Source organism: Homo sapiens, chromosome 4, assembly GCF_000001405.40.
Source record: "Homo sapiens chromosome 4, GRCh38.p14 Primary Assembly".
NCBI lineage: Eukaryota > Metazoa > Chordata > Mammalia > Primates > Hominidae > Homo > Homo sapiens.
Genome location: NC_000004.12, coordinates 95226874 through 95253755, shown reverse-complemented (window position 1 = coordinate 95253755; position 26882 = coordinate 95226874). Strand labels below are relative to the sequence as shown.

At 36.5% G+C, this 26882-nt stretch overlaps 1 protein-coding gene across 4 annotated transcripts in view; it reads left to right on the top strand.

Annotated features, from left to right (window-relative positions):
- Positions 1-26882, top strand: part of UNC5C (unc-5 netrin receptor C) — a 386470-nt gene that overhangs the window by 295218 nt on the left and 64370 nt on the right. For all 4 annotated transcript variants that reach the window (NM_003728.4, XM_005263321.4, XM_047416346.1 and 1 more), the window contains 3 exons: positions 3089-3269; positions 8612-8779; positions 11163-11327. In NM_003728.4, the coding sequence (NP_003719.3) occupies positions 3089-3269; positions 8612-8779; positions 11163-11327 (514 nt within the window). The remainder of the gene's footprint in view (positions 1-3088; positions 3270-8611; positions 8780-11162; positions 11328-26882) is intronic.

Genomic DNA, 26882 nt, shown 5'->3' with positions numbered 1-26882 from the left:
TGGCTGGCAGCACTGGGGTGTTGGGGACTGTGGGGTCTTGTCAGAAGCTGGAGGAGTCCTGGGCCCCCCTCTTCATTCCCGCAGCTATTTTCTAGCTGTAGGACCCTTTGCTTCTTGAAACAAAGGCGTGAAAGCAAATCCAGTATGGAAAACAGATAAAAGCAGAGTTTCTGTGATTCAAGTGGGAGTTAAGGGAGGAGAGCAGTGTCCCCCACAGGGGTCGTCAAACACTGCTGGGGCTTCTCAGGGGTCCTGAGGTTCAGGTCAGAACCACTGCTCCAACACAGGCAAGAGACACCCAAGGCAAATGTGTAATTATGTATAATCGAGTGAAGATCATATACCCAGCAATCATGTCTCTTCAAATCTTTTGTCAACCATGCAGATTGAACACTTTCTTCCATGTAATAAACTCTTCATACAAACAAGTGGTTTCTAATATCCCTTGGGACTTCTTTATGTTGTTTATGATTAGGATAACATCACTGTTAAACTGACATCATTTACATAGGAGGAACCGTAGTTTTGAATAGCTATGGGTTCTCCAGAGGCAAACCATGAACCAAAGGTATGAATGTGAGTAGTTTTTTAAGAAAGTGCTTCCAGGAGAACCCTGTAAGTGGGTGAGCAAGCAGGAGAGGAAAGAAGCCTAGTACAGGTTGAATGTTCCTTATACAGAATGTGTGAGACCAGAATTGTTTTGGACTTCAGGTTTTGGAGTACTGGCATATACATAATGAGATATGTTGGGAATGGGACCCAAGTTCAAACATGAAATTCATTTGTTTCATATGCATGTTATGCACATAGCCTGAAGGTAACTTTATATAATATGTTAAACAATTTTGTGCCTGAAACAAAGTTTGTGCACACTGAACCATCAGAAAGCAAAGGGATCACTATGTGAGTCACTCATGTGGACAATCTATGGTTGTTTGGTGTCACCGTCATTCCCTTGGGGATGCTGAATAAACTGTGTGTTACGCACCTGCATTTTGACTGCAACCGGTCATGAGGTCATGTGTGGGATTTTCTACTTGTGGTGTCACGTTGGTGCTCAAAAGTTTCAGATTTTGGAGCATTTCAGATTCCAGATTTTTGGATTAGGTATGCTCCATTTATAATAGTGTCAATTCAGGTCCAGTCTCAAGGATGTAGCTGCAGCCTCATCCCTGCAAGGGACTTCTGGAAAGTTACAGCTCAGATTCTGACCCAATGAGACAGAAGTCATATTTCTGCACCCATTAGTCAATGGCTAATGGGGCTAATGGGGAAGTTATAAAAAATCCTTGGCAAAAACAATCCGTGAGCCTGAGGGCTGCTCTTCAGAGAAGAGGGCCAGGTATGAGTACTTGAAAGAGAAGCACACTGAGCACAAAAATTGTAGAAGGGATGCAAGAACAACTGAGACTAAGGGAGCCTGTCCATGCTTTGTGTGATAGGAGGCTTTCTTTAGAAGGGCATAGATAACCTAGGTAAAGATTCCACTCAAAAACTATTAATTTCAACTTTTAATTATCATCAAAGAGATTTTTAACAGTATAAATTGTGCCACCTTCTCCCGTGCACTTCCAGCAGGATCGTATTTCCACACATAGGGTGAAACGTTGAGAAAATCCAGGTCAAGTGAATATGAGTATATATCTCAGAGATACTCAGGCATATCTCTGACTGAATGTAGAGTCTGTATTTGGAAACAAAATACATATTTAAAACACCCACTGTTGTAAATAGATTCTATTCTTTTTCTCACTACCCTGAGTGCAAATATCAAGAATGTTTAGCTTTTTCAGCATTTACATCATTACAAATAGTTTCTCTACTCTACAACCTCATATGTTTCTATATTTCAGGATTGTTGTTGATTTTTATTTTTCTCTATAAATGTTGGCTTCTCTTCTAAGGATTAGAGGAGCATTATTTGAGAGTCCCTGCCTTAAGTGTAATTTAGAGTTGTGCAATGTCAAACCCACTGACAGATTTAGAGATTAATTTCTAGACGTCTTGTGGTGCTAGAGTAGCTCCTTAAGGTTTTGAAAATGGCAACAATATTGACTCCCTACCACTAAAGGTTACCTGTATCCACATTCACCCTAATGCAAAAGGAGAGTTTAAGTGTGGTAAATATCAACGTTGTTTGTTGTTTTGCTTTATGGAAAAAACTGTGCATAGAAAAACAAAAGGCAACTGCCAGAATAAGAAGTAGTTTACCTCCAGAAGAACAGCTTATACAGGTATGTTTCCTCTTTTTATTCAGCAAGTATAACATCACTATTACTACATTAATATTATTCACATAGAAAAAAATAGTTCAGTAGTTTTAAATGGTCATGTCTTAAGGTCAGGTTCCCCAAAAGCACACCCTGAGCCAAAGATTTGAATGTTAGCATTATACAAAAGGAGGGATTTGAGTATGATTTGTAAGCTATTCAGATTGTATTAAGAATTGGTAGAAAAACTTAAAAAAAAATTTGGCTTAGATACATCTCCAACTATGTGTTTTGCTACATTTTGAAAGGTATTTTCAGGGATATTTAATCCATACGTTTCAGTGAGGCTACACGTAAACCATCCAAATGTTATTTTATTACAGCTATGTGATGTCTAAAATGCCTTTTGTGCTTTTAAAAATAGTCTTTCTATTCTTTTCTGAAAAGCAGCAGGTAAGTTGCCAAGAGTAAACAAATCAAATAGTGAAAGGTTTGAGTTCAGTTTGAAACGCTTATCCTATTATTTTTTATTGGGTTCTGAACTTGGCAGCACACATTCCCCATTCGTGCCTGCAGGGCAAAGTGAAAACAATTTGAACACTGTATTTCCCAACTGGTTCACTGACATTTGAGAATAATGTAGTACAGACAGAATCAGCATGTTTGGCAGGTGAGTGATACTTAACATGACCTTGGAAAGTTACTTCCCACCAGTTTGCAGAAGTTCATGGCCTGGAACAACATTGTACATATTACAAAACACAGGTATCGCTTCTCGGCCTTTTGGCTAAGATCAAGTGTACAAAATGCAGGTTAGGACAGACAGCCATCAGGGGATCCATGCTGAGGATTTATCTACTTTTCTCATTTATCTTTAGGTGGAATGGTTGAAAAATGAAGACATAATTGATCCCGTTGAAGATCGGAATTTTTATATTACTATTGATCACAACCTCATCATAAAGCAGGCCCGACTCTCTGATACTGCAAATTACACCTGTGTTGCCAAAAACATTGTTGCCAAGAGGAAAAGTACAACTGCCACTGTCATAGTCTATGGTGAGTGGCCCTTCAGGGTCTCAATCTAGTTCATGTTTAACTGCAGTTTCTCGTTGGCATCGGTAAAGCTAGAAGCCCTTTTTTTAAAATTTCATATTATTTGAGACAGGGTCTTGCTCTGTCACCCAGGCTGGCGTGCAATGGCATGACCGTAGCTCACTCTAGCCTCAACCTCCTAGGCTCAAGGGATACTCCCACCTCAGCATCCTCTGGAGTAGCTGGTATTACAGGCATGTACCACCATGCCCGGTTCTAGAAGCTCCTTTTCAATCTCCATCGCTGCTTGCTTGCTGCTTTTCACAGGGGCAATGAGGTTTAATTGCTTTCCTCGTACTGATATGAAAGGATAGGCTCAGACAACCTCAGCCCTTTCTCAGTCAGCTTCTAGGAAAGCGAAGGAAGCCTACCTGAGTGCCTGCTGCTTCTATAAGCCCTCTTCTCTCCAGAACCTGCACCACCAAGATCTAGATTGAGTTCTAAAGATGAATATGCTTCTGTCAGCCTGCTGATGTTTCTGTGGACCTAACACCTCAGTCTTATCATTGCAAACCCTCAGAAAGCGGGAGCTGACCTATTCCCAAAATACATTAGAGCAATTTTAGCTTCTTATAACTCATTCTACTCACTCCATCAGAGGTGTGCAGAGTGAAGATAAGGGCTGCCTTATCTGGCCAAGTGGCCCTAATCCTAACGATATGCTAAAGTCCAACGAAGCAACTTCTTAGGAAGATTCCTCCCACACCCTGGTCCTTTCTAAGCCAGCTCATCTCTAAACCTATCAATTCTCTGGAAGTACTAAGCAATTTCATACCCCATTCTGATGTGGCACATATGCTTTTATCTCCCTGTGTGGTTTAGCACTCAGTTATTTTCTAGTCATTTCATGAGTAGATTCATCTCCCCAGCTAAAGTTAAGCTCCTTGATAGACTGAGAGACTGGTCTATATATTTACATATTTCTCACAATGTTAGACCTCTAATAGTTCCTCATATTATTGATGTTTTACTGTCTCAGAGGAAATTGAACAACCTGGGAAGTATTTAGAGGTTATGCTACCTCCAGAATGATGTCCCCATGCCTCACCACCTCTTAGAACATAATGAAGATTTTTATCACTGTTTTAGTGTTAAACTCCGTGGGCCTTGGAGTCTTACTGACTGAAGGAGGGGGAGACCCACTGGCAAGTATGTGGCTCATAGTACAGTCAGTCATGTGTCACTTAATGATGGGGACACATTCTGAGAATTGCATCATTAGGTGATTTCATCACTGGGCAAACATCATAGAGTGTATTCACACAAACCTAGATGGTATAGCCTACTGCACACATAGGATAGATGGTATAGCCTATTACTCCTAGGCTACAAACCTGTATACTGTGTTACTGTACAGAATACTGTAGGAAACTGTAACAAAATGGTAAGCATTTATATATCTAAACATAGAAAAGGTGCTATAAAAATAAGATATCAAAGATAAAAAAAAAGATAAACCTGTATAGGGCACTTACTATGAATGAAGCTTGCAGGCCTGGAAGTTGCTCTGGGTGAGTCAATGAGGGAGTAGTGAGTGAATGGGAAGGCAGAGGACATTACTCTACACTGCTGTAGACTTTATGAACACTACACTTAGGCTATAGCACATTTGTAGAAAAAGTAAAGTAATACACCACAATGTTACAACAACTATGAGGTTATTAGGTGATAGGAATTTCTCAGCTTTGTTATAACCTTATGGAACAGACCATTATGGTATATGAAGTCTGTCCTTGACTGAAATGTTATGGGGTACATGATAGGACTGAAGGAGTTAAGAATTTGTCACCCCAAAATATGCCACTTGGCATATTGACTATTTTCTGCATTAAAGGTCCTTGAGAAACAGCGGGCTCAAGATCACTCTGCTAGTCCTGTCTCTTAAAAGCAGGAGAGGAGATTTTCAGCTGAAAGATGGCTTCCCTATACCAGAAGGAAAGTAACATTCTTATCCTCAAGGACAGGAAGTTGAGACCACGGGGAAGTTACGATCCAGATAATTCTGTATCGATCTTATTAAAATAACTCTTAATCTTCTTTTAGCCTTAACACATAATTGACTTTTTCATAACTTGCTACTCTTTGTCCAATTCAATATATAAGCATTCAACTATAACTGCATCTTTGGGTCTTCATTTTCTTAGGCCATGTAAAAGTTATATTAAGTAAATTTACATGTTTTTCTCCTGTTGATTTGTGTTACACCAATTTAATTCTTAGGCCCAGCCAAAAAAAAAATCCTAAAAGAGTGGAAGTAAAATATTGCCTACCCCACAGTACCATTCAGATGGATGTGTGTTTATGAGAAGAGAAACCACTATGCTGTTCCAAAGGATGAATGTAGTGCTGCTTTAAAAATGTCATTTTAATTACAGGAAAAATGGCACAAAAATTTTTTGATCCTCTGATTACCCTGAGGTTTAATTTCCTAGTCCAGATAATGGCTGTGTTGAATTGTATGCAATTGCCTTTCTTAAATCACAATAAAATGTTTTCTTCTTCTTATCTCTTTTTAAACTGCCTGAAAGACTTGATTAACAACATTTGAAATGCAAGAAAGAAATGGGGCACAATCACAGCATGTGCCAGTCATAAATAACTAATGAAGGCAGACTATATATAGTTGTATTATATAGATGTTTAATGCACATGCAAATCTCTTCCTATGTATATTATGCTTTCAATATCCATAAATACAATGAATGTGTTGTCTTTAGGAAGGATCAAACGCAAGTAACTTAGTATTTAGAATTAAGGAAATAGCTTTGGACTGGGGTCAGGAATATTGGGTCATAGGAGTATTTCTGTCACTACCTGATCTTCAGAGGGTCTTTTAACCAGGATTCTCTGAGCCCTTGCCTCCTTCTCTGTAAATGAAGGGATAAACCTACGATCTTCAAAGACTTTTTCATCTCTGAAAATTTCTGATTATTCATTTCTCATTAAAATCCCAGCAGAACAGTACATATATCCTAAACCCCAAATATCAGCTTGCCAGTATGCTAGTAAGCAGTTTATACAGACAATTCCATGGCAGGGAATTTTGTAAACTTGAGCAGGTTAAGTTGCTTTTTGGAACACTCACTGAAACCCTACCTATCTACCATCTGCTTGTCCTTTACATTAACTCCTAAAATAACTTGTCCAAGCCTCATAGGTTGGACTCACCAGAACTCCATAGAAAACATATATATCTAACCAGTATTTCATATTTAGCAACTGTTTTATATATTTTTTGTTAATGTAATTTTTAGATTGCAAATATACATCCATTAAAGAAAATTTGGAATACAGAAAAGGTCAAAGAAGAAAATACCTATACCTATAATTCTGCCACCCAGAGATAGCATTTAAACAAAAATTATATGTATACTACTTGAATTTTCTTTCTTTTTTTTTTATTTTTTTATTTGAGACAGGGTTTCACTGTCGCCCAGGCTAGGGTGCAGTGGCGCAATCTTGGCTCCTGTAACTTCTGTCTCCTGAGTTCAAATGATCCTCCCTCCTCAGCCTCCCAAGTACCTGGGACTACAGGCATGTGCCATCACACCTGGTTAATTTTTGTATTTTCTGTAGAGATGAAGGCTAGTCTCAAACTCCTAGACTCAAGCAATCTGCCCATCTTGGCCTCCCAAAGTACTGGGATTATAGGCATGAGCCACTGCACCTGGCATATACTACCAGTACTTTATATGTATACATAAGATTTAAAAATAAGCATTATACATTGTTATATTATACATCTTTTATAATTTAAAATGTATAAATACATATTAAGTATTGTATACATATTATATAAAATTATATACATATACATTATGCATAATGTATCCATAAACATTACTTTTATTTAAAACATACTGAAACATTCATGTATTATTTATTTATTTGGAGAGAGGGTCTCACTCTGTTGCCCAGGCTGGAGTGTAGTGATGTGATCATAGCTCACTGCAGCCTCTACTCCTGGGCTCAAGGGATCCTTCTGCCCCAGCCTCCTGAGTAACTGGGTCTATATACACATGCTGACATGACCTGCTAATTTTTTTTTTTAATTTTTGTGGAGCTAGGGTGTTGCTATGTTGCCCAGGCTGGTCTTGAACTCTTGGTCTCAAGCAATACTCTCTCCTTGGCTTCCCAAAGTGCTTGGGTTACAAGCATGAGCCACTGCACCCAGCCTCATGAATTATTAAATAGCCTTCTACAGTATCACTTTTAATGGCTGTCCAGGAGTCCATTACATGAACATATGTGGCTGGCTTTGCCATTGTCTTGTTTTTGAACATTACAGTTGTTTCCAATTATTCATCTTTATATTAAATAAAGTTGCTGTAAAAAATGTTTCTGTCTGTAAATATAACATTCATGATTATTCCCTATTGTATAGGTTTCTAGAAAACAAAATATTGGGCAAATGCTGTGCACATATAAGGTTTGTGTTACTTGAATGGCTAATACACTTCTTTAGTATCAGGAAACAGATGCATATACTAGTTGTATTATATTTTAGCTACAAGGAAATAATTTTGTTAGAAATTGTTTAATTACAATATTGTACAGACTCACATTATTGAAGTATTAAAAATATATATCAAAGTATTTTCTAAAGAGAGGTCTGCAGAACTGAATAGTGTGCAGTCTTACGGTGTAGGTTTTACAATCACATATGCTGACAGCTCCATCAGACATCATAATTGGCCTTTATACACAAAGTAAGTGTTTATTTCAATATCAACTAATCGCCAAGTAACTCAAATAGCCAGTCAATTTGTTTATAACCCCAGTACTGTAAGATTTTATTTTTTAACCAGGTTCACTGGTTTGTGCAAGTGAATAAAAATCCTTAAAACGTTGTAAAGTTTACATATGCTTAAAAAATCAATCTTTTTTTTAAGGCTAAATTATTTTATTCTGTTCCCATGCTATAGATTGACTTGCAGGCTTTTCATAGAGATGTAAACATTTATTATTTGAGACGAGCTGTCAAAAGTAATTTTGGAGCTTGACTAGGTGAGGAGATAGGTGTATTTTTTAAGAACACTGGCCAAAGAAAAGAGAACACATACAGTCCTATTTATTTTTCTGAGTAGGTGAGTAAATCTTGACAAACTTTTTTTTTTCTCTGTCTATACAATAAAACTTTGGATAAAATGAGGTCCATGGTCTCTTCTGGCTTTGAAATTTTGGATTTTTATAATGGTCGCTTGGAAAATAACTCTTTGTTTACATATTGTGTCTGTTTTGTGTGTCCATGTGTGTTGTGCATGCACACATGTTTAATCCACTTTTTACTGTTTGCCTCCTTTCAGTCAACGGTGGCTGGTCCACCTGGACGGAGTGGTCTGTGTGTAACAGCCGCTGTGGACGAGGGTATCAGAAACGTACAAGGACTTGTACCAACCCGGCACCACTCAATGGGGGTGCCTTCTGTGAAGGGCAGAGTGTGCAGAAAATAGCCTGTACTACGTTATGCCCAGGTAAATAAACCAGTCCTCTCATTCCAAGTATCTCCTATTATTCAAGAAACATGCTTTTAGAGAATAGATACACAGACTTTATTCTTGATCTGAATGTGTGATGAACGTTATTTAAATCCATCCTACTCACTGTTTACATTGCTGGGAAATCAAGTATTTTCCTCCAAAAGAATACTTAACTTTGTTACCAAAACATGCAAAATTGTACAAAACAGGAGATTAAACACTACTGGATATAATCCCTTTATATTATTCAACAAAACTGCTGGGGCCAAGATTGCAGATTTTATAATTCAAAGGATTTGAATGGCACTGGAAGCCACACATTTTAGGAATAACAATCCTTGATCTTCAGAAAACCGTAGAAATTAATTGGAACTGAAATTTAGAAAATGTTTTAGATGGAAATATTTTATATTTGGTGTCAGTTTCTGGTGAAGGGCAAATACAACATTTGAAATGAATTATAAGGAATGCAAAGTTTTTTGGTACTTGGGATAATGGATTCTGAAACTACAATGCAGTCAGTTCTTTGTTATCTGTAAATGTTGGTCATCTATTTTTTTGTTATTTGCTGTAGTACCTACAGCAAGAGTGCATGCATCTCTCCACCTCTTAGCATCTTTCTGTACTATCTCATATTGCTACCAGCTCTTATCCCTAGGTAAATCGAAGATAATATTTGCCAAAAGCAAAAACAAAACCCTTTAAAATGCCTCGTTATACAATATATTCCAAAGCTAAGCTAAAATTTTGAAATAATCCATAAATTTACTGCACTCATTGGAGTAGCTATTGTGTTTTCAATTTTATTGTTCAGATACACAGCCTCCTTACTTCTCCTTTTTGCCTAATTTGGTCATGTTTATCCTTTAACCTTTATCTTTTAACCTTTCTCAGAGATGGGCTGGACAAATGAACTGGAGAGATATACATAATCTACACTTTACATTCCCAAGTGTTGATTTCCAAATGTCAGAGCAGTCTCCCACAGTGAGCCCTTTGAGAGCTTTTATTTATGAAACAAATTTTGACACTTAGCTAGCTTAAAATTTCAGATTTTGTTTTATAGGAGCTGACTCCCACAATTAAAAATGCACTGATCAATTAGAGTTGAAATAGAAATGTGTGTGTGTGTGTGTCAGTGTTTTGGTACACTGGATTGGTGCAGGTCAAAGCAAATGTTTTTGCTCTAAGTAGTTGGGACTTGCTTATACAGCCAGTTCTGTATGACTGAAATATTAATGCTTTTCTCATTTTTCATGTGGGTATGTTTATAACCATATCCACATTATACACAATATATTTACATAATAATTTGAATATGAAATCACTTAGATTTCTCAAACTATGTAGACTATTAAAATGATATAATTTTTACTAATATGTAGATATAAAAGGTTAAGGTGTTCAAGAAATGATGTTTAGCATTGTTTTACATTGAATCCTTGATCATCATAATTATATATTTCAGGGAAAATTAATATTTTAAAGCTCTTATTTCAATATTTTTATCCTATTTTTGTGAGAAGCTTAAGCTGCATTTTGAAGTGTGATTGAAATTTACTATATCTTTTTTCAAACTGAGACTTAAGTTGTGTGCTTTTAAAATAGAGATATCTAAGTTCATTATCTTTGAAGTTGCTGACAAGCCAGCCACCAAAATTAGGAAGAAAGTAAGTCAGTTCTAAATGACTGAATCACAAGAAATATTAGGGACTTACCTAAAATTTTTTAATAAAAATAGAAACAGAAACATCATCAAATAATAAATGAAAAATAATAGTGTTTTCATGAAAACATTACAGGTTTCAGCAGAATCAAGCAGGCCAGATGAAAAAAGTAAAATAAAAAGACTATATAAAATGCAGTTGAAAGAGAAGAGATAAATAGATATATACCAACTGGATGAATGAATGGAAGGTTGGATAGATTTCTTCTCCACCGTACCAACCTCTTCTCTGAATTCTCACATGAGCTTACTTTCACTGTCCACATGGCCCTAGGAATGAAGGAATCCTGGATCCAAAGAGAGCCCTCCTAATTTTCAATACAAAACCCAGAAGCTCCCCCATTAATAGGAAAAGGGAAACCATCATGGCCTACTTTTACATAGCTCCTGGTGACAACTTTGGATTTTGTATGTCTCAGTCAGCCTCCCTTGGCTTGGTCAATGAGAAAGCACTCACACACTCTATAGGAAAAGCTCACCAAACCCAAATGATGTAGAACATGCAGTTCCCAGCAATTGAAATGAATACAGTGCTTCTCAGTAGGGCATGCTTGTTCTTGTTTTGTTTTGTTGTATTATATTTGAGCTCTGCTCCATCCCTTAAGCAGCTGCCTCTCCCTCTGACCTCCTGCTGCATTTTTTCCATGGCAGTGGATGGCAGGTGGACGCCATGGAGCAAGTGGTCTACTTGTGGAACTGAGTGCACCCACTGGCGCAGGAGGGAGTGCACGGCGCCAGCCCCCAAGAATGGAGGCAAGGACTGCGACGGCCTCGTCTTGCAATCCAAGAACTGCACTGATGGGCTTTGCATGCAGAGTAAGTCAATTTAAGCAAACTGCAGACATTGAGGGGGCTGGAGATTGAACCATTTGGAGTTTTTTAAGGAAACATTAGAAATAAAGAATTCTTTCAACAACAATAAAATGCAATAACATAGCAATATTCTAGCTTGCTCTCAAAATTGGAAAAAGCGAATTTTCCAGGAACCAGAATAAAAAGTAACTATGTCCGGCTAACAAATGGCATGCAATATTGCTTTTTCATGAGCAAGGGTTGATTCTATCACTTATATGGAAGGGAACCATTACTTAGTTTTATCAGAAAGCACAAAAGAGCACTCTAAACTCCTCACAGAGTCAAAACAAGACTTCTAAAATGTAAGCCGTTTATTCTTAATTCATGGCAGGTACCTAACGAAAATGTCCATGGAGTGTAAAATAGATGTAAAGATGACAAACATTTCTGTAGGTAGATTTACCTTAGAACGAATGTTTAGTGAGAACATCTCTGCAACCTCTTGAAAATTCTGGGTTTGTATTAGAAATTATAATGCGGGTATGATTTAGTTTATTTAAAGGAAATAAATATTGATAAAGCATACATTTTTAAAATGAGTGCCGAAGATTGGCTCAGGAATGTAATGGGTGCTATAAGCTAGATATTCTCCATTTTTTTCACGTCTTTGTTCTTTAGATTTTCTTAATTAAGTGGTAGTTTGATTTCATACTTGCAAACTCTGACCCCTTTATTGAGGAGCCCTCAGATGTACACAGTTTACTATCTCTTTTCATGACCATAAATTGAGGTATTAAGAATTATTCTGAAATCATACCTATTCAGATTAATGGATCAAAAAATGTGCTGTCTTTGGATCTGAACTAATGGTTGTCTAGTGTTGACATTTCTCATAATACATTACACATTGCTAGCAGAATACAAGCAGCTGAAGGTGTTTGTGCAAAGGTATTTGTACTTGTCATTTAAGAATAAAATATTTTGTTTTTACCACACTTATGAAATCCTGTTTACTTTTCAGAGTCTATACACACAGGAACCTTTAGAAAGATATCTTACTTAAAATACAAATAAACAATTATGTTGCTCACACAGAATAAAAATCCAATAGGCCTCTTATTTTTATGTTCAGGGTACACTGCATTCCCCAAGAACGGGCTGCTGCTGAGTGTATAAAGCACAGCTTCTGGTAATGATGTGGGGCCTGCCACTGTGAACCTCACAAGTTTGTACTAGAAATGCATAAATGAAAATCGGCTTTGCTAACCATTTATCTAGAGGTACAGAGTTTGTTTGGGTTGAGGATTAAAATAGCAACATACCACATACAAGTTAGTCTTTTTAACATTTTCATCACTTAGTATTTTTCCTTTACTCTAGAACAAACTGATTCATGCGATTGCAAAGTAGAAATAGTTGGACTTTTTCTATCTTTCTGCCTTTCACGTTCTTTCTCTCTCAATGTACTATTTCAATCTTGGGTGATTTAATGCCTACTACTTCCATTGTGCATATTTACAAATCCTCAGAACAACCTCTTTAACAAGGAATACAATGCCACGAGACAGAACCTTTTATTAGTCATAGAAAATGTCACATTTTAAATTATGACAAATACAAACATGATATATTCAAACTAAGACTTTCATGACATAGCAACCCCTTAGCTTCTAGATCATTTCTTAGGCATTCATAGAATTTTTTCCTTATGATTGGATATTTGCCAGTAATGATGGCATGAAGTGTGTGTCTATTGACAGGGAAGAGGAATGAGGCTATAGGAGGAGATTTTTTAGTTGTTTGTTTGTTTGTGTTTGTGTTTGTTTTTGTTTGTATTTTTATCACGTCTCTTGTTTGATGGAAACATTTTGCTGTTCGGGTTAAAATCATTCCATTTAAAGCTATTTATTTCTGCAGCTCTGATTTGCTATAGTAACAATCCCTACTAAGTCAATAAACTCTTTCATCTGCCCTCCTGTATCCACTCCAGTCCAACAGAGAATTGTAGTCTATATCACTATTGATTTCCTCAGTGATAAAACCACAGAGATATTCTGCACTGTGTAATTACAGTATTTTACAGTGAAAGCTATAGTTTCTGTTTACCAGTTAGTTTAGTGTATCTGGGACAGCATTACTGCCAAAGTCTTGTAAAAAAATAATATTGTTTGGCCATTATTTTGGAAAACAAAGGCTTCTAACAGTGAAAGTGCAAAGTTCGCAAGAGGGACAAGGTCAGTATTAAGAAAAAGAATGGGAGTAGAAAAGATAGCCAGAAAGTTGTAATCAGCAATTAGGAATTATCATTTAATATTTATTTCCTTTGGGAGAATTAGTGTCTGGAATGCATTAATAAATAGTCCTTCAATGATATCACAATTTATCTCAAAATAAAGCTAGTCTACTTTCAGTGAACCAGGTAAGAACTACAACCTCTGAATCTATTCAAAATTGTATACAAATAATTCTGATATAAATGTAGGTGTACTGCTAGATAGGAGAAATTCAGAGTTCATAATGGATGTTAGTAGGATTCAGAGTTACCTAGATAATGTAGCATAATATTTTTTCAAAAGCTAACTTGGTACTTAAGAGGAATACAATGTGAAATATATAGAAAATATTACTGTTGATATTTATTTGTTAATTTGTTCAAAACGAATTCAGATATATTTCCTTGTTAAGCGCTTAATACAAACACCTTTGACTGAAAATATATTAAAATGTTGGATAAAATATTGCAAACTTAGTAGAGACATACATGTGCATGCAGAAAGAGAGAGAGAGAAAATACGTGGTCCAAAAGAAAGAAATTAGAGAAATCCTCAAATGCCAAAAATGAAGCTGCAACTCCAAGCTAGAGAGGTAACGGTGTGAGTGGACACCAATATAACCAGGAGCGGGGAGCTGGATATGGACATGGGTCCCGGGGACTGGAAATCAGGGTTTCAGTTTTGGCACAGAGAAGAAGTCCTGGCTTTGTGAGACCTAGACTTGGAAATAAGAACCCTAAAGAAAGCTGAAACTCACAAATGCCTGACCTACCCACAAGAAACAACTATAACATTTTTGCCCACCAGCCAAGGGAAGACATAGAAAAAAGTGGTAGGAAAAGGGAAATGAAGACTTCATTTAAATAAAACCCATAGTAAAACCATAACCTCACCCTAGCTCTGGTATGGAATCTAAGATACAGTGCTAGAAGCAAAACACGAAAGATGTATAATTAAGCTTCTAGGACACCAGCAGAGCAAACAGCAAGCCACTATCTAAGTTTCCTTTCATAACTAAGTTCATTAGTCTAAGACAAAAATAAGCCACACCTGTCAATAAGCTTACAATACAAAGTTCCCAATCACCCAAGAAAATTGTCCACTGTAAGGGAGAGTCAGCAATAATAAATGAGTTAGCAGTCTACTAACATGAACTCATAGAGCAATCTGAAGGAAACTATAGAGTAAAGTAGATGTAAAAAGACAAACCATATTTTTAAAAGGAACATAAGCACAAATGAAATAACAGAATATTGTTAAAAAGACAGATTTGGAGAAAAAAACAAATGGAATGTCTAGAGAGGAAGGCATAATGATTGAAATTTAAAACTCATTGGAAGATGAAAAATCAGATACAGCTTTAGATAAAGCTGAAGAGAAAATTTATAAACTGGAATGTAGATCTTATGAAACTTCTCACAATACAGGGAAGTTTTGTTAATACATAAGTGAATATGTAAAAGAGAGAATAAAACTAATGGAGGATAGAATGAGAAAATCCAACATTTACTGAATAAAAGAACAAAATTTAAAAGATTTTCAGGTAATCAAGATAGAGAGGATTTATTACTCATAAACCTTACTGAGTAAACTACTGAAAATGAAAAACAACAATTGGTTCCTTAAAATAAGATGAGACCAATTGAGGAGAAGCTGAAAATAAGATGGAGCTAAATGGTAGACAATATTAACATGGAATATGGGAAGGTGCAAACTAAGTTAAAAATTTCCATTTTCTATATATTGCTCAGGAAAAGAATAGTAATGGTATTTACATTAGACTTCCTTGATTCCACTGTTATAGCTAAAATGTTAAGACTTGAGTACACACATAAAAATTGAATGCATAAATTCAAAATAAAAATTTTAAGGGTAGGAAATTGGCAAAAGGAAAACTAGTAAATTAAAACAATAAATGAGATGGTGGAAATAAAGCTACATATATCAGGGATCATAATGTAAATGAATTAAACTCACCTGTAAAAGGAAATCCAAAATTGTAGAAAAAAACTCAGTTTTATTCTGTTTATGAGTCACATACTTAAATCATAATTATAGGAAAAGATTGAAAGTTAAGAAATGGAACTTACAGTATTGTTGAGTATGTAGGTATGTATGTATGTATGTATGTATTTATTTAGAGACGGAGTCTTGCTCTGTCGCCAGGCTGGAGTGCAGTTGCACTCGGCTCACTGCAACCTCTGACTTCCTGGTTCAAGTGATTCTCCTGCCTCAGCCTCCTGAGTAGCTGGGATTACAGGCACACACCACCACACCCAGCTAATTTTTGTATTTTTAGTAGAGACAGGGTTTTACCATGTTGGCCAGGATGGTCTAGATCTCCTGATCTCGTCATCTGCCGCGTCGGCTTCCCAAAGCAGGATTACAGGCGTGAGCCACTGCGCCGGGTCTGTTCAGTATTTATTTTAACATGTCCAATTAATGGCTTTTACTATCTGATTGGGCTATTCTTTATTCAATTCCATTTCCCATTATACCTAAGTAATATATATTAGAGATCATTTTTGACTCATAGTTTGAATATAGAGTTTTATTATGGGCTTTATAGTTTTTAGAATGCTTAATTTCAACTGAAAAATTAATCAAAAGTTTTCTAAATTGTTTACCAGTTTGATAGTGTTTGGATAAGACATGTTAGAAATCTATTTCTTTCCTCAAATTTGACACCAATTGAAATTTTTCATAAAAAGGCTTTGAAGGTTACTTATAAAACTAATGAATACTTTAAAGATATAATAATGCTAAATGTTAAACAAATGTGTAGTTAAGTGGAAACTTTTGTACTTTGCTAATGGGAATAAAAATTTTTATGGGGAAGCAATTTGACAATATAAGTCAAGAGTTTTAAAGTTATCATACCCTTTGACCCAATAATTCTACTTGAATGCATAAGTTTTAAGTAATTAGTATGAATAGCTAAAAATATATACAGTCAGCCCTCTGTATCAGTGAGTTGCACATCTGTGGATTCAACCAAGTGCAGGTCAAAAATATTTTTAAAAACAATAAAAAAATACAACAATTAAAAATAAAATGTTAAAATACAGTATAACAATTTATTTAACATTTAAATTGTATTAGGTATTATAACCAACCTAGAGATGGTTTAAAGTATACATGAGGATGTGCATAGGTTACATGCAAATACTATGCCATTTTACATAAGGGACTTGAGCAATCTCTGATTTTGGTGTCGATGGTCAGGGGTGGTTCTGGAATCAATCCTCCTTGGATACTGAGGAGCAGCTGTATGCCAACTATGTCTATATTCTTTGTTATTGTAAAAAATGTAAAACCCAAAAGTCTAATATTAGGATGATGGTTAAGTAACACATAGTACTTCCATTAAATGGAACATCATTTATGATGTCCGCTAAAATATTTATGAGGTTTTAACATGGAAAAGCAGAATATGGATTTATATATGTATTTAGTGATAAGCGTGTAAAGGTATGCTTAGTAAAAGATGAATGAAACTTATGAATTTTCTGGGATAATGAGATTACAAGTATTTTTTTTCTTTTTCTATATGCTTTCTATTCTTTTTTTTCTTTTATTTATTTATTTTTTATTATTATACTTTAAGTTCTAGGGCACATGTTCACAACATGCAGGTTTGTTACACATGTATACATGTGCCACGTTCGTGTGCTGCACCCATTAACTCGTCATTTACATTAGGTATATCTCCTAATGCTATCCCTCCCCCCTCCCCCAACTGCTCAACAGGCCCCGGTGTGTGATGTCCCCCTTCCTGTGTCCAAGTGTTCTCATCGTTCAATTCCCACCTGTGAGTGAGAACATGCGATGTTTGGTTTTTTGTCCTTGCGATAGTTTGCTGAGAATGATGGTTTCCAGCTTCATCCATGTCCCTACAAAGGACATGAACTCATCCTTTTTATGGCTGCATAGTATTCCATGGTGTATATGTGCCACATTTTCTTAATCCAGTCTATCATTGTTGGACATTTGGGTTGGTTCCAGTTCTTTGCTATTGTGAATAGTGCTGCAATAAACATATATGTGCATGTGTCTTTATAGCAGCATGATTTATAATCCTTTGGGTATATACCCAGTAATGGGATGGTTGGGTCAAATGGTATTTCTAGTTCTAGATCCCTGAGGAATCGCCACACTGTCTTCCACAATGGTTGAACCAGTTTACAGTCCTACCAACACTGTAAAAGTGTTCCTATTTCTCCACATCCTCTCCAGCACCTGTTGTTTCCTGACTTTTTAATGATCACCATTCTAACTGGTGTGAGATGATATCTCATTGTGGTTTTGATTTGCATTTCTCTGATGGCCAGTGATGATCATTTTTTCATGTGTCTTTTGGCTGCATAAATGTCTTCTTTTGAGAAGTGTCTGTTCATATCCTTTGCCCACTCAAAAACAAGAAACGGGGAAAGGATTCCCGATTTAACAAATGGTGCTGGGAAAACTGGCTAGCCATATGTAGAAAGCTGAAACTGGATCCCTTCCTTACACCTTATACAAAAATTAATTCAAGATGGATTAAAGACTGCAATGTTAGACCTAAAACCATAAAAACCCTAGAAGAAAACCTAGGCAATACCATTCAGGACATAGGCATGGGCAAGGACTTCATGACTAAAACACCAAAAGCAATGGCAACAAAAGCCAAAATTGACAAATGGGATCTAATTAAACTAAAGAGCTTCTGCACAGCAAAAGAAACTACCATCAGAGTGAACAGGTAACCTACAGAATGGGAGAAAATTTTTGCAATCCACTCATCTGACAAAGGGCTAATATCCAGAATCTACAATGAACTCAAACAAATTTACAAGAAAAAAACAAACAACCCTATATGCTTTCTATTCTATACATTATTTATGCTTAGTATTCCATTATGTTTATAATAATAAATGACATTTTTTAAAAAGAACTGTTGAGGATAGGCCACAGCATGGTCTTGGAAGCATGGCTCTCTGAATTTAAGAACTAGCAATGTCACTGACTTTGGTCACATTGATTCAAATTAGATTACCAAAAAAGTATTTGCATAAAATACTTGTATAAAACCCTAGTTGTATGAAACCCTAGGGTGCAAGACTTATAGCCAGTAACACAAGTATTTTGAAGACATGGGGATTTGGAACTGAATTATAGTTTTACATTATTTCCCAGTTGCCTATCACATACAGATATATAGACACATATCTGTCCTTGCAATCATAATTTAAACTCTTATACTGTGTGATAACTTGGATTCATTATGTGATATTGTGTAATTTCATTTGTGAAATATAATCGTGGTCTTAAACAATTTCAGAAGCTCTATTACATTTTTATACCACTCATACATAGTAGTTCATATTGTAAGTACTGTGTAACATATAATATATATGTATTACACTGGATAAAGTCTCACTGGCCTGAAAAAGTAGTTCCTACGCTGGAGATAATCAATGCCTTGGTGCCTTCAAATTAAGACCTTTACAAAATTGATGTTATTTCACCAGAATGCATTACTAAAGAGTAATTAGAAGCCATCAGAATCACTTAAGGTGCCAGAAATAACTTGGACATTTTGGGTTCATAAGCACATACTTAATTGTTTTCAAAACTACATTTTAAAAAGTGGAGTTCTGTGGTACACTAAATGACATGGATTGCATTGAATAAGAAAGGTAAGTTAAATGACGAGTTAATTGGGTGCAGCACACGAACGTGGCACATGTATACATATGTAACTAACCTGCAAGTTGTGCACATGTAACCTAAAACTTAAAGTATAATAAAAAAAAGGTAAGCGATTTGGCGTGTTTGTTGCTATTGAAAATAATTGAAAATATATGTCTGATCTAAAAAAACTTAACATTAATAACAAATATCAGTTTTTACTTAATAATACTACAGAATCAGTATTGGAAGACCAGTTGTACTGTGTACATATTAAAATACTTAGGTTTCTTTATATCATCCCTAAACTGATGTGAAAGCAGCCACCCCCCACATTTTACAATATATTTTTGAAATAGGCTTTACATTAAATGGTTATGACAAGAGAGAGAGACACAGAGAACAGGACACATAGAAAGATACAGAAGAAGCAGAAAACACTTAAGAAATCTCAAAAAATGCTAAGACAATAAGCATATTATATTTACCTTTTAAGTTGAAATACAATTGTATTACTGAGACCTGATAACTTTTAACTTTTATAATCTTTTCTTTCCTTTTTTTTTTAAATGTGATGGAGTCTCATTCTGTTGCCCAGGCTGGAGTGCAGTGGCGCCATTCTGGCTCACTGCAACCTTCTGCCTCCTGGGTTTAAGCAATTCTCCTGCCTCAGCCTCCTGAGTAGTTGGGATTACAGGCATTCGCCACCCTACCCACCTAATTTTTGTATTTTTAATAGAGATGGGGTTTCACCATTTGGCCAGGCTGGTCTCGAACTCCTGACCTCAAGTGATCTGCCCACCTCAGCCTCCCAAAGTGCTGAGATTACAGGCCTGAGCCACCACATGGGGCCTAACTTTTATAATCTTTATAATGAATTTTTAGTAAGATCTATTTGTCATGGATAGCATATAATATGAATAGTTTAATCACTGCTTACTTCTTCCTTTTGAAAATAGCAATTCAATACTATATATATGGCCTAGTCCAGAAATGCAAATTTATATATATATTTATCAATACAGTAGATTGGATTATTAAGTTACTGCAACCATTCCTATAGATTTTAGTTTTTATTCTCTTTGTAAGTTTGGAGTTTCTCATAGGGATTTTTAACAGTTCAAATCTGAACTTAGAATTACTCCTTGCTGAAGACGGTTCATGCCACAGTAGACAAATTTAAAATTGTAATTTACTAACAAGAACTGCTTGGAATTGTGTCTGCATCAGTGAACTTCCTGACTTTGGGAAATTAAAATGTTAGGCATTCTGCAAAGTTAGCACTTTCAACTCATTAAAAAAATTACACGTCACACAGCTCTTCTATTAATTCTCAGAAGTACAGAGGAAGTGGCAGAGCTCTCCATGTGTAAACTGTGGTGTGGACACACTGCATACCAGGGCCCCCAGAAGCCCAGGTGGATTTAATGTGGGGAAGTAATTTACCTTACAAATACTCATTTCTTGACTTTAGAATGATACGTTTATAACCGCCTGTGGTAGGCATTTGAGAAGGTGCTAGTCATTTCCCAGTGAAATTCTTGTCAACACAGCAGTTTGATAGGAAAGCATAATTGTGAGTGGTAGACAGTGAGAGCTTTTATCCATAGTTGGAAGAAGTTGATGTCATAGCTGTGTTTGTGTAGTTCTTGATATGTGTAGCGTCCCAGCTGGCAAATAAATATTCTGTACATGGCCTGCCTGCCCAACACAATGCTACACAGTGTCCGGTATAATAAGTGTGGTTTGCTTTTGTTTTCCTTTCTGGTAAAACATTTTCCTGGTTTTGAAAGCAGGGATGTGGTTAGAAACTTTAGCCTACAGAAGCCTAATGAACACCTACGGAGCACCAAACAGGTTAGAAAACAAATGCAAGGTCTTTAGATTCTAGGTGGAAAGGGACCTCTGAGGGGATCAAGAAAGGTGCCACCAAGCCAGCAACTACAGCAAAGCATGGGCTCCTTCGAGATCACGGGGGTGCAGGTCCAGGGCTGCAAGCTCAATTTTCTTCTTGCTAGAAATCTAGCAGATAGGTTCATGTATTCTAGAAGTCAGTCACCTTATACATCAGGACTCTTCATCATTTTACTTTTTCTATCAGGTGTCTTTACTACCATGGAGGGGTTCTGGTATCATTGCTTTTGGATTTATAATTTATTTTTCTTTTCTAAGAAGCATTGACGGGGATAGAGTCCATTATATAATATAACACTTATATAAAACATATATAATATGTTTTATAATATAGTTTACATAATATAGTTTATGTAATATATTATAGTTTATATAACACTTATATAAAACATAATATAGTTTATATAACACATATAAAAACACTTGAGTAGCTGATCTATGAGTTTGATATTAATGAACTTAGTTTAAATTTCAGGCATTTATGCTTCACCTACTGTGAATCATGAGATAAGACATTTACATCCTGGGATGTTAATTATCTACTATTCATTTTCAGAAGGGTGTGGCTGGTCACTGTAAGGAACAGGGCTATGAACCAGCTTAGTGAGGTGTGGCCATTGTCCTCAGCAGGCTGGAGCAGTAAATTACCATGGCAATTTAGATAACTGACATCAGTGATAAGCAAATGTTCTTTTTAATTGTTGTTGTCATGTCCTAGGATTTATGTATTCATTTATTTGGAGTTCCTTAAGCCCTATCAATAAATAAACCCTCAGAAGAGTGGTAAATTATAATAAATGACCCTGGGTGTCTTTGACAGACCTGACCTTTGACATCATTAGTGCAGCCCTGATGGGTTTGCTAGATAAGAGCTGACCTTAAAGGATAAAAGAAAATCTGGACATGTTTATTTTGAATGGCCCTTGAGGTTTTAATAAGAACATTTGCATCAGAACAAATGTAATTGGGGTGAAAAAATTGCCCATGTTTTGGCTTAGTGTAAAGTAACTGGCAAAAAAGAAGACCAAGCGGCCAGGTCAAGGAGAGGGGATTCTTCTAAGGATAGGATCAGAAAATGAGGAACAATCTTATCAAGTAGCCTAGTGGACTTAGAGTAGATAAATATTACTAAAACTAACCAAGACCTTTGTGACCTAAAAATAGCTACTTTTTTAGAATATGTTTAATGCTTTTATAAATGACATTATGTCATATGCATAACTTGCATCCTAGCCACCCCCATAAGATATGAATCTATCATCTATTGTGCTTAATCCCCACAGTATCCTAAAATCTATTTACGGGTATTAAGGTCATAGAAGCAGCTCCATATTGAAATGTAATGAGTAAACCTCAAAGGCAAGCAGGACACCTCCTAAAACTCTACCTATCTCTTTTTTGGCCAAGTATCTGATACTAATGTAAAGACAAGGTTTTAATGCCCAGACACCTACATATAGACTTTAGAGGGCATAAAAAGTACCATATCTTATATGGTAGTTTAAAGATATTTCAGATTTCATTTTAATTCTGTTTGCTGTCCACCTAATACATTGATTTTAGGCCCTGGCATTAGTTGCTTCTGACCCCAGTCTACTGTGTCAGACATGACCAAGTTAAGAAAAAATTGAATTGAGCTCAATTTAATTAATACTCAAAAGGTAGAAAAAAAACCTTACAAACAGAACTTTTGTTAATCCCCTAACAATAGTTCTCTTTTACAAAGGAAGAAACTGAGGCATATAATTGAAACAGCCCTCCCAACATCCACAGATGAGTGCTGGAGCCAATGTGTGAAGGCAGATCTGTCTCATTTTTAAGCCTGTTCTCATGCAGGATCTTGGATGCCAGAAGCAAGTGGTTGTCAGCTTTTATTGCTTTAAAATAGGCAAAGGATGCCCTATTTAATGAATGGTGTTGGGAAAACTGGCCATATGCAGAAAACTAAAACTGGACCCCTTCCTTACACCTTATACAAAAATTAACTCAAGATGGATTAAAGACTTAAATGTAAGACATAAAACCATAAAAACCCTAGAAGAAAACCTAGGCAATACCATTCAGGACATAGGCATGGGCAAAGACTTCATGACTAAAACATCAAAAGCAATGGCAACAAAAGCCAAAATTGACAAATGGGATCTAATTAAACTAAAGAGCTTCTGCACAGCAAAAGAAACTATCATCAGAGTGAACAGGCAACCTACAGAATGGGAGAAAATTTTTGCAATCTATCCATCTGACAAAGGGCTAATATCCACAATCAACAAGGAACTTAAACAAATTTATAAGAAAAAAACAACCCCATCAAAAAGTGGGCAAACAATAAGAACAGACATTTCTCAAAAGAAGACATTTATGCAGCCAACAAACATGAAAAAAAGCTCATCATCACTGGTCATTAGAGAAATGCAAATCGAAACCACAATGAGATACCATCTCACACCAGTTAGAATGGTGATCATTAAAAAGTCAGTAAACAGGCTGGGCACAGTGGCTCACACCTGTAATCCCAGCACTTTGGGAGGCTGAGGCAGGTGGATCACCTGAGGTCAGGAGTTCGAGACCAGCCTGGCCAACATGGTGAAATCCATTTCTACTAAAAATACAAAAAATTAGTTGGCCATGGTGGCAGACGACTGTAATCCCAGCTACTCGGGAGGCTGAGGCAGGAGAATCGCTTGAACCCAGGAGGTGCAGGTTGCAGTGAGCCAAGATCGTGCCACTGCACTCCAGCCTGGGCAATGAGAGTGAAACTCCGTCTCAAAAAAAAAAAAAAAAAAAAAAAAAAAAAAGGAAACAACAGATTCTGGGGAGGATATGGAGAAATAGGAATGCTTTTATACTGTTGGTGGGAGTGTAAATTAGTTCAACCATTGTGGAAGACAGTGTGGTGATTCCTCAAGGATCTAGAACCAGAAATACCATTTGACCCAACAATCCCATTACTGGGTGTATACACAAAGGATTATAAATCGTTCTACTATAAAGACACATGCGCACATATGTTTATTGCAGCACTGTTCACAATAACAAAGACTTGGAATCAACCCAAATGCCCATCAATGATAGACTGCTTAAAGAAAATGTGGCACATATACACCATGAAATACTATGCAGCCATAAAAAAAGGATGAGTTCATGTTTTATTGCAGGGACATGAATGAAGCCGGAAACCATCATTCTCAGCAAACTAACTCAGGAACAGAAAACCAAACACTGCATGTTCTCACTCATAAGTGGGAGTTGAACAATGAGAACACACCAACACAGGGAGGGGAACATGGAACATCGGGGCCTGTCGGGGTGGGGGGCTAGGGGAGGGATAGCATTAGGAGAAAACCTAATGTAGATGACAGGTTGATGGGTGCAGCAAACCACCATGGCATGTGTATACCTATGTAACAAACCTGCACATTCTGCACATGTATCTCAGAACTTGAAGTATAATTAAAAAAAATGGAATTTTCTTCTGATGTGTAGAGCTCCTCCAATTATTGATGTTTATTCCTTTTTTCCACATGGCATCATTTTTGAGGGAAATGATGTTTCTCCTTTAAATATTTACTTATAGGGTTTTATGCCAAATGCAATGTGATTATCATGCATTAACAACTACATCACTCTAGCAAGGCTCCCCAGTCACATTAGAGTGGAAATGCTGAGGTTTGGTACACCTCTTTGCTTGCCCCACACTTGTAACAGAAGACACTGTTTGGAAATTTTTTTCATGTAAAGGAGACAACCTCTCTATGCTATTTTTGGCTTTATAAGTGTCATGACTATAAATGATAATATTTCAAATGGAGAGATATTTTACAGTCCAAATCAGCAGGGTTATCTCATGCAATCACCAAATTACAAATTAAGCCAGGTGCCTACCAAGCCCTCTTCTGTTATTTCCTTGTCTCTCCTCATTCGAATCTACTAATTATTGCTCACATAGTACTTAAGAAGGACGGTGGAGGTGTAGCCTGAGGGCTGGGATCCAACCCTGGCTCTGCTGTTTCACCAGCTTTATAATGTTAGACAAATCCCTTTACCACTCTATACTCAAAGGGTTAAATTAGGGAGTTCCAATCAATGATCTATTTTCACTCCAACATCCTGGGGGTTTGCAAGTTTGTGAGAACATAGACTTGGTTTTGAGGATTTAAACCTGGCTAATGATGTTCAGAAGTTATGACATTTCTCACATCAGAATATTTGCTTGATAATTATTTATATGAAAGTATGTAGTATGGCATAAAAACAGTTTGAATTATTTTTTTAAAAAGTAGTAATAAAACCATGATCATTTTTTGCTATCTATCCATATGGCTTGGAAAGAAAAAATTTGAAAAGGCTAGAAAAATAAAAGTAGTTGCTGTTTATTGGGGAAATGAAGATTTACATTTTGTTTCTGGCATTATTCTTGAGACTCTCAAATATAAACCCACCAGACAGGCTACATTTAGGTATATTGTTGCTCAGTTACTGGGTCTTGGCTGTGTACTTAGGGATAATTTGATATTACTTCCTTCAGTGTAAACACCAAGGAAAGCTCTCTTGCTCTCTTTCTTTTTTTACAATACTTGGACATGGGCTCTGATCTTTTACAATGGTTGGACATCACTAAAAAGTTCGGGCAACCTCACCTCTAGTCTAAATGATGACCTTGTGCAAATTAGAAAAAAGTCATTCGTTCCCTAAGTCACTTTACTACCAGCAGCCAGGAAATGGTTCTATGATTAATCCAAATCTACAGTAAACACAAATATGAATGCTGCCACCCAGAGCTGGACAATGCAAAATTATACATTGTCAGTTTTATTGACCCAAATTTTAGTTGGTAGAATATCAACACTTTGGGTAACTTTGCAAACATCCTTTCTCACCTTTGAGACTCTGTCTCCTCATATGAAAAAGATTGAATGAGACAATCTCCTGAGATAATGTTTTGAGCAATTATGAGATGGTCTTCAAGTAAAAGGAGCATTGCATGGACTGTTTAAGACATAGCCTGCTCTTGCTCCAGTTTTCAAATATTTTTTCTTCACTTAAAGGTTTTCTCCATATCGAATCTCCTTTAGTCTGTATTCCTGCAAGTCAGGAAAATCTATGCTTTAAAAAATAAATTTTCTTTAAAAATACAAGTTACAGCTGGGTGCGATGGCTCACACCTGTAATCCCAGCACTTTGGGAAGCCAAGGTGGGAGGATTGCTTGAGCCCAGGAGTTCAAAACCAGCCTGGGCAACATAGCGAGACCCCATCTCTACAAAAAAAATTTTTTAAATAGCCTGGGTGTGGTGGTGCAGATATGTGGTCCCAGCTACTTGAGAGGCTGAGATGGGAGGATTGCTTGATCCCAAGAGGTGGAGGCTGCAGTGAGCTATGATCACACCACTGCACTCCAGCCAGCATGACAGAGCAAGACCCTATCTCGAAATAAATATTTAAAAAAAAAAAAAAACATTGTTTTAAAGTGGATATAGGTTATAAGCAGTTACCCTTGAAAAAGCACTGCTCTTGAAAAAGCAGTTGCTGAGGCCACACTGTACCCAGGGATAACAAGCCTCATACCTTTCCCTGAACGCCATGCCTGTTCTTGCCTTCTCAGTCAAAAAGAGGTGATTTTGAAAGTTGTTATCAAGGGAGGTGGATTTTGTTCTGGGCCATCCTTTCATGGCAAGATTGTTTCTTTCATTGCAGGACATTCAATATCCTTGGCCTCCACTC